This window comes from Homo sapiens, chromosome 2 (assembly GCF_000001405.40).
Source record: "Homo sapiens chromosome 2, GRCh38.p14 Primary Assembly".
NCBI lineage: Eukaryota > Metazoa > Chordata > Mammalia > Primates > Hominidae > Homo > Homo sapiens.
Window position 1 is genome coordinate 211,312,399 of NC_000002.12, and position 10,112 is coordinate 211,322,510.

Here is a 10,112-nt window from a genome sequence, read left to right on the forward strand (position 1 = left end):
TGCAAGCTGTAATGCAAATGGTTACAGTCTCTTTTTTAAGTTTTTGACTCAGTATGTTTTTACTCAATGCTAATGTAACTTTCATTAGTAAAAGAAAACTTGTTGGAACATTTTTAAAGAAATATTAGGATTTTCTGCAATACAAAATTTCATTGTTATGGTTCAAATGTTTTTCTCCTCCACAATTCATGTTGAGATTTAATTGTCAATATAATAATATTAGGAGGAAGGGCCTTTAAGAGGTGATTAGGCCATAAGAGCTCCACCCTCACTGGCAGGTTTAATGCCTTAATAAAAGGGCTTTTCCTAGTGGACTCTCTCTCTCTCTTTGTCCTTCTGTCATGTGAAAGTGAAGAAACAGGCCCTCACCAGAGGCTGGCCCTGTGATATTGAACTTTCCAGCCTCCAGAACTATGAGCCAACAAGCTATATTCATTGTAAATTACCTAGTCTGTGATATTCTGTTATAACAGGATAAAACAGACCAAGACAGTCATAAAAAGTCAACTCATTTTCTAATAATATGAACATTTATTTTGAAACAATTCTTAAAGATTAATTTAGATGTTTGACCTAAATAATCTCTCTGGATTTCAGTTTTCTCATGGGCAGAATAGAAGTAATATTATCTACTTCAAGAAGTTATTTAATAATAGTTAAATAAAATAATAAATGTATATGAGTTCTATAATACTAAGGTGATCATATAATTTATTATCCAAAGTTTGACCTTTTGAGTAAATTGGAGTGGTAAAAATAATTTTAAAGTGCATATTTATTTAAACTATTTAATAGCAAATTGCTATATTTTATTGGTAGACATAAATTATAAAAATATAAAAATTACATAATTCTATGAACATTAACAAAGTATTTAATTGATTATTGTAATATCAAATATAACTTCAGGGAAATAATTATCCTGGGCACTCAGTCAAATTCTTTACACAATATCTAGACTATATCTGCTTCCAACACATTATTACTATTGTTTAATGAAGACTGTATAGTTGTATTTATTTATTTATGAGATGGAGTCTCCCTCTGTCACCCAGGCTGGAGTGCAGTGGCGCAATCTCAGCTCACTGCAACCTCCACCTCCTGGGTTCAAGCGATTCTCCTGCCTCAGCCTACCAAGTAGCTGGGATTATAGGCGACCACCACCACACTCAGCTAATTTTTGTGTTTTTAGTAGAGAGGGAGTTTCACCATGTTGGCCAGGCTTGTCTTGAACTTTTGACCTCAAATGATCCACCTGCCTTGGCCTCCCAAAGTGCTGTGATTACAGATGTGAGACACCATGCCCAGCCTGATTGTATAGTTTTTCTTTTTAATTTTTTAATAAAATTATCTACTCCTCTCTCACTCCCTCGTTCAATTATCCTCCTGCAGTGAGAGCAGTGTCTCTTAAACAGCTATTTACTACTTTGCTTAAACAGGCGTTATCTCTTAAAGGCTACCTAATTATATATACTGACCACAGTGCCTGAAACACTGTACCTGCCTCATCTCCTTTGTTCACATGGCTATTCACCCTCCTGCTCCAAGTACAGTCTTAGATTTAACTTCTTCCAGCAAGTCTCCTCTGAATCCCCGAATTGGGGTAAAATCCTCTGTGCTCCAAATGCTCCCTTCATGTTTTCTATTATGACACATATCCTTCAGCAGTGCACATCTCTTTACATGTATGTAGTAGATAGATAATGATGTTAGTGCCTGTCAAGTAGGAAAGGACCTAGGAATTAGTTATATCCTCCAATCCTCACCTATAATTTTAGTGGGGACAGCCTATTATAACGCGCTTTCTTCAATTCTCCATATGAACCCTCTGCGTTCCCTGCAAAATACCTGTGCTAATCTGTCAGAAAAAGGGTATTTGAATCAAGGTCAGTCCTAGTCTTTTTCTAGAAATTTTGGTGCTGCAACTAAGAAAGAGATGCCACACTCTTTGAAGTACCTAAAGTGGAAGGAGTAAGGCATGAGAAATGTTTGAAGTCATTTTTTCTGTCTGCTGTGGTCTGAGTGTTTGCGTCCCCCAAAATTCATAGGTTGAAACTCAATCACCATTACAACGTATATTAAGAGGTGAAGCTTTTAGATTATCAAGACACTGCCCTAATAGGGATTAATGGCCTTAGAAAAAAAGGCTCATGGGAGCTTGTTTGCCGCCCCCACACACACAGCGTGAGGACATATAGAAGGTGCCATCTATGAGGGACAAGCCTCATAGGGACAGCAAATATGCTGGCACCTTGGTCTTAGACTTTCCAGCCTCCAGAATTGTAAGCAATAAATTTTTGTTGTTTATAAATTACACAGTCTAAGGTATTTTGTTGTAGCGGTCCTAACGAATTAAGATACTATTATTTAGAGCTAAAAACCTGGGGATGCCAATCTGTTAAAAAAAAAAAAAATCAATCCATCCATCAACTCTCTTTGTCTCTGAAAAGAACATCCTTGGTGTGCTATTGGTTAAAAGTACCTCTAGCTGCTATGAGACTCATCCATGTTTCTAAACATAGATTATTTGATACTCTTAAGTATCAATATAACACATATCCTTTGTGTTTAAATTAAACCAAGTCAGATTTCTGAGCCTTACCATCAAAGAGATATTAACTTTTATGTAGTCTGTCTCTATCATTGAAGTATCAACTCTTGATCAGGACAGGAACCCCAGAACCGAGTACTATGCCTGGTATATAAGAGGTTATCAATAACCACTTATTAAATGAATAAACACATGGGACTATGATGAAAATTGCAAGCACACTATCCAGCCAACTAGGCCTCAGTACTGTGCTTACTGGTAGGAATCCCCACTGCCTAATGCCCTGTGAACCTATTTTCCAGAAGAGCTTTGGGCATTAGGACTCCTAGTGCTACAGCAAAAGAAACTACTATCAGAGCAAACAGACAACCTAAAGAATGAAAGAAAATTTTTGCAATCTATCCATCTGACAAAGGTCTAATATCCAGAGTCTACAAGGAACTTAAACAAATTTGCAGGAAAAAAGCCAACAATTCCATTAAAAAGTGGGCAAAGGACATGAACAGATACTTCTCAAAAGACATTTATGCAGCCAACAAGCATAGGAAAAAAAAAATCTCAACATTACTGATCATTAGAGAAATGCAAATCAATACCACAATGAGATACCATCTCATGTCAGTCAGAATGGCAACTATTAAAAGTCAGGAAACAACAGATGCTGGCAAGGTTGCAAAGAAATAGGAAAGCTTTTAAACTGTTGGTGGGAACATAAATTAGTTCAACTATTCTAGAAGACAGTGTGGCAATTCCTCAAAGATCTAGAATCAGAAATACCATTTGACCCCCCTATCCCATTACTGGGTATATACCCAAAGGAATAGAAATCATTCTATTATAAAGACACATGCACATTATGTTCATTGTAGCACTATTCATAATAGTAAAGACATGGAATCAGCCCAAATGCCCACCAATGAGAAAATGTGGTACATATACACCATGGAATACTATGCAGCCATAAAAAAGATGAGTTCATGTCCTTTGCAGGGAGATGGATGGAGCTAGAAGCCATTATCCTCAGCAAACTAATGCAGGAACAGAAAACCAAATACCTCATGTTCTCACTTATAAGTGGAAGCTGAATGATGAAAACACATGGACACAGGGTGGAGAACAACACACACTGGGGTTTGTTGGATGGGGTGGTGGGGATAGGGAGAGTATAAGGAAAAATAGGTAATACATGCTGAGTTTAATATCTAGGTGATGTGTTGATAGATGCAGCAAATCACTATGGCACACATTTTCCTATTTAACAAACCTGCACATCCTGCACATACACCCCAGAACTTAAAATGAAAAATAAAAAAAATAAAGAACTCCTAATGCTAGCTCCCACACCATAGAAATCCATTATAAAGATTTATCACCCAAATACATTAAACTAATTACATATCATTCAAGTCTAACTCTGATATTAGATGGGTTGCAAGCATACAGAAAAGCTCAAAGACTCCCCATGGATGTTATAATAGTGTTAATTTATTTACAATCAAGGCTAAAGGAAACAAATTTCAGGGATGATGGTGCAGAAATAAAGATAAACCTGGTGAATATTTTGCCACAGATTGGAGACAGAAATAAGATACATTGCCCTCAACAACTACTATGGGGAATACATGGTTACAGTAAAACAAAATGACTTTAGATACTAAAGAGCTTGGTAAAAGGACAAGAGAGAGGTTCAGAACCCACCACCCGCCAAAGAAAAGTAGAACAATAATGGCTCTTCTTTAGTTAATAACTACAGTTTTTAACAAGGAAAATGAAAGAAGAATCATACAAGAATACACATGGAAAAGAGAAGAGAGGGACAGAGAAGAATGAGGAAGAAAAGGAAAGTACATAGGAATAAGTCTGATGGAATCAAGTAAAAAATATGCATTACTGAGAACAAGAAATTCAAAATCTGATATTGTGTGCTTAGTGCGGATTAGCTAGTCACTTCAGATAATTTCATTTGGTACCTATTTAAATAACTCAAAATATTCTCCTAGTGTCTTAGGATTGATTTTTATTTAAATTATTTAGCATTATCATTGTAGTTAAATAACATAGTCACTTATGCTCAAACGCATGTGATAAAACTGCTTTACAGGGCAGGTGCAGTGGCTCATGCTACCCAGCACTTTGGGAGGCGAAGGTGGGCAGATCACCTGAGGTCAGGAGTTTGAGACCAGCCTGGCCAACATGGTGAAACTTTGTGTCTACTAAAAATACAAAAATTAGCTGGACGTGGTGGCACGTTCCTGTAATCGTAGCTACTTGGGAAGGCGAGGTGGGAGAATTGCTTGAACTTGGGAAACAGAGGTTGCAGTGAGCTGAGATCGTGCCACTGCATTCCAGCCTGGGTGACAGAGCAAGACTCCGTCTCTAAAATGAATAAAACAAGAAACAGACAAAATAAAACTGCTTTATTCAGTTTATTTCTTATGAAAAGTTTGAAGAGCATTTCTCAAATGATTTTTTGTAAGAGACATTCTCTCTCCCATCTCCTTCTTTTTTTTGTTACTTTTATCTTCTCCAATATTACTGGGGCTTTCTCTTGTTCTAATTTGGATCTACATGTACTACTGTGTACAAATTAGCCTTATAAGACAAATATTTTATTATTACAAGGTTGGTAAGGTCTTAATAATTGTTGCAAACAAGATGTGCTAATAGAAAAAACAAATTTTGTATCTGCCAGTAAAATCAGTGAGAAGTTATACTGTTTTAAAGGAAATAAACTGGAAGGGAGAATTATAACTTTCACATAGCTAGGAGCTAATAAACAAACAAACCACAACAAGAACAGAAGCTAAATAAAATTCATACTTAAAAATAAATAAGCAAAACACTAAGAAATTTCCAGGGGAAAGTAATTATTGATTGGCTAAGTACAGCCAAAGAAATATATATATACACATATATATATGTATATGAATATATATATACACGTATATATATGTATATGAATATATATACACGTATATATGTATATGAATATATATACACGTATATATGTATATGAATATATATATACACTATATATGTATATGAATATATATACACGTATATATATGTATATGAATATATATATACACATATATATGTATACACATATATATACGTGTACATATATATATATTCTGGTATATTGAATATGCACTAGTAGCTCATTAATTTAATATATTGAATGAAATTTTCAAAAATATAGTAAAATTACCTTGTAGGGTTCACTGAAATTACCTGAAGAGCCTTAACTCATATGACAAGATTGGTTAGCCTACTCAAATCCATAGCAAAGCTCTTTGACTCTTTTTGTACTGCTTGGTAGGATTCAAATAATATATGCTGAGACTTATGGTTCCATATTCCTTTGGTGGGTTTTATTGAAATGAGTTCTATTTATAATAAAAATAATAAAAATCATAGAGCTTAAGAAAATAAAGAGAAATAAAAAACCTTCTGGGCTTCATACATGTGTATATATATGATCGAATGTATTTTTTTTTTACCAGATAGGCGAGATGTCTTTAAACCAAAATCTGACATGTTGGTGTTTATAACTAATGTTTCTTAAATCTAAAAAATGAATTCATGACTGCACTTTAAAACCATCTCTGCGGTGTTCACAGAGGCCATCTCCACTGCAACATTATTTCTGAATTTTTTATTTGCTGCCATGGGCTGTTCACATTTTCTCCATCCATTTATTATTCCCAGATAGCTTTCTTCAGTAAATTGAAGAGATTGTAAAAAAATTAAAAAAAAATTTAAAAAAAAAAAAAGAAAAAGAAAATCTCTAGTTATGAATGTCTAGGTTTGCAGTTACCTAAACTTTTCTGAAAAGCTAAGAAAATTGGGAAAGAATGTAGAATTTTTCTCTAGGAATGACATTAAAGATACAGACTGGTTTTTATGTGCCAGCTGGTCAATGCTTTCATGCCACCCTGTTAAGATGTCAAAACTATTTACAAGAGTTATCTCAGAATCTTCTTAGATTTTGGCCAAATTGACCTTTAAAATTCTCTCCTTTACCCAGTTACTCTCTCATCATAGACAGAGCTACTATTCAGTCAAGCAATGGTCTTTGGAGGCTGTGCAAGACAGGGCCTGAGAATGGCCAAGGTAATAGTCATGCCTCTATTGGCACATCTGCTTTTCCTTTCAGGAGCACTCACTGTCCTCACATTTTTCTCATCCACCTTTGGTTTCATGGTAATCATTTTAATAACAGTCTTTGCCAACATTGTAAACTGTCTTCTTACTTTAGGGATTTTTATCCAACTTGTCTCGGGGGAAAATCCCGTCTTTCAGGAATCCCTTTTCTTCATTTATACGCCTGAGTAGGCATCGTTCCTAGAAACAGATCAGAGTGATTCCACTATGAATTCATTATCCCTGACTTGTACTGGGATCTCCACGAGGCTCATGCCTAGGTCCCCCACTGCCCTCATTCTGTAACTTCTCATCAGGTGATTTTATCTCTGCCTATCACTTCAACTGTTACCTATAACTAGATTGTTCTTACATTTACATCTCCCGCTCAGTCTTATCCTCCTAGCACTAAACTGGCATATTGAACTGTGTAAGACAAAGTCTCAGGGGCACCTCTAAAGCATGCTATATACAACTGAACTCAGGTTATCTCTCCTAATCAATAAAGTGCTTCATTTTTCCTCTATTTTAGACAAAGGCAATACTACCTATTCAGTTATAATAATAATAATTGTAGGAGTCATGCTTAATACCTCCTTTCCATTATCAAGTCCAGTTGCAAGAATATGTGTATATTTGTTTGTGTAATTGTGTGTATACACATACAGTCCCAACTTCTATTCTGGCACCCTTCAAACTGTTCTCACTGCATACAGACAAAGTGATAGTTTCCAAATACAAATCTGATCATTTATTTGCTTAAACCCCTTCAATAACTTTCCATTGCTGTTAGGAGAAAGATCAAAATCCCTAACATGATCTCTAATGGTTTGTGTAGTCTAAACTTTATTTTCCAGCATCATGTCACATTTCTCTGCTTCTTCTCATTTGCCAAAACCTATACTTTGCTGGGAGTTCATTGGCCTGATGCTTCATATACTCTGTTCCCTCTCATTGGAGTGCCCTTTTCTCCCCTCTTCACTGAAGTAATTACAACTTATTCTTCTTTATATTAGCTCAAGTGTCAATTCCTTGAGAGCTTTCCCTGTCTACCCAGCTGGCTTTCATTCCCCATCACAAGCTTTCATAGTACCAGATAACTCTCTTTATCACACTTACCACTCTTAAAAAATGACTTTTATTTTTCTGTCTCCCCACTAGACTCTAAGTTCCAAGGCAGCAGGAGATACATCCTCTTTATACAGTATCAATTTTATCCCTAATCCCTCTCATAGTGTTTAGCTAACATGTCTACAAGTTATGGGAGTCAGTAAGTGAATGAGTGGTTGTACTTGTGTGTATAAATAGGTAAGAAATTGTTGAAGCTAAAGGCAGAGGTGTAGTAAGAAAGCACCTTTGTGTTTTGAAATTATTATCCACTAATATTTGCTAAAGGCTTGCACGGGGTCAGGCATTTTTCTAAAGATTTTACATTCATTAATTAATGCATTATCTAATTTTCCCCATTTTTCTTAAGAGAAACTGAATCTCCAACAGAAGTGGGGTCACAAATTCAAATTCAAGCTTGTCTGATTTCTGAGCCTGAGGCCTTATTTCCTCCCAATCTCACAAGTCTAGCTGAATCTGATCTTCTCCAGGGAGCTGTTTCTGATTTTGCCCATAAGAATTAGTGAATGTTTGGCCTTCACTCTGATAACTCAAGCTAGTAGTGTTATATAACACTTATTTATTTTTCACTTTCATTATGTTTAGTTGTTTATGTCTTATTTTTCTTCTTGAAGCAGTTAGCAAGACATACAGTTTACAGGACACAAGACTTACAAGTTACAAGACAATACAGAGAGGATTCCCAGTGTCTAGAACTGTGATTGAGATATGGCGGAGGGGCAAAAACATTAAAATGTCATAGAACATGCTCATCAAATTAGGACTGGCTGTGAAAAAATAATAGTTCCTAAAGAAATCTAGCTTCCAGAATTCAAATGTCAGAAAATTAACATTCAGTCAGAATGGGATATGGCTTAGACATTATGCTTTAAGAAGTTCTTCAGGCCGTCCACAGTGGCTCACACCTGTAATCCCAGCACTTTGGGAGGCTGAGGTGGGCAGATCACCTGAGGTCAGGAGTTGGAGACCAGCCTGGCCAACATGGTGAAACCTCATCTCTACCAAAAATACAAAAAATTAGCCAGGCATGGTTGTGGGCACCTGTACTCTCAGCTACTTGGGAGGCTGATGCAGGAGAATCGCTTGAACTTGGGAGGCGGAGGTTGCAGTGAGCCAAGATTATGCCACTGCACTCCAGCCTGGGCGACAAGAGCAAATTCCGTGTCTAACTAACTAAATAAATAAATGAATAAATAATAATTTTTTAAAAATAAAGTTCTTCAGCTGATTCTAAGTGTAGTAAGTTTAGGAAAGTCAGTGAAATTTAAAACAGGAGTCCAGCAGCCCTGAGAGTTAGAGTCCATCACATGAGGCTACCATGTCAGTGTGTCCCTGAATCATTATAAAATTTTGCATAGACTAGAAAGAGTGACAGAGAGGCAACTGAGAACTGTCTATTTTAGAGTCCAGGAACTTTGTTTCCCACCATTTAATGTACTCCCTGTGACATTCGTAAATTAAGGAGCCTAACCTCAAATCACAGATGGAACTAAAAGTAATATAAAATTTTTATTAATATAATTTACTTCCAAAATTTGAAATTATTCTACAAATAATATCTAAATGTGCATTCTCTCTTTAAACAGTGTCCTTTAAAAATTCAAAGGCTAGTTATCACTGAATACCCTGCTCCTTCCAGCAGTGGAGCCACCGGGTGCACCTGTGTATTTCTTAGGGGTCCCACTGCCACAACTGGTGGCCCTGTTGCCTTCATTTGCAGAGCTGCCACACACCCTTGCATGCACCCCTGAAAGGACCTGAGAACCAGTCTCTTGGGCCTGCCATTGGCAGCATCTCCACCCCCTTCAGCAACAGAGCTGTCACAGCCTCATGCGTGTCTGCCCAGAGCCCCAAGACAGAACTACTTGGCATCAGCACTCCCCAGCAAAGCTATACCACAGCTTTGGTAAACAACTGCAGCCTAGGCCACCAAGGCACTAGCACACACTGTTGAAGTGGATTAGAACTCAAGAAATCATACAGAAACTGTACAATTGCACCTACCCAGAACCAAAGTCAAAATACTCTATTTGACCAACACTATAGGACATATCTATAGGAGAAAGATTTTCCCTACAAAAACTACCTCATAAAACTGGAAAAGCTGACTGTTCCACCAGATGCAAAGATATCAATGTAGTAACACAAGAAGTATTTTAAAAGCAAGGAAACATGACACCTGTAAAGGGACACAAGAATTCTCTAGTTACAGACCCCCCAAAAAGAAAATGTATAAAATGCCTGAAAAGGAATTCAAAGTAATAATTTCAGGAAACTCAGCAAGATA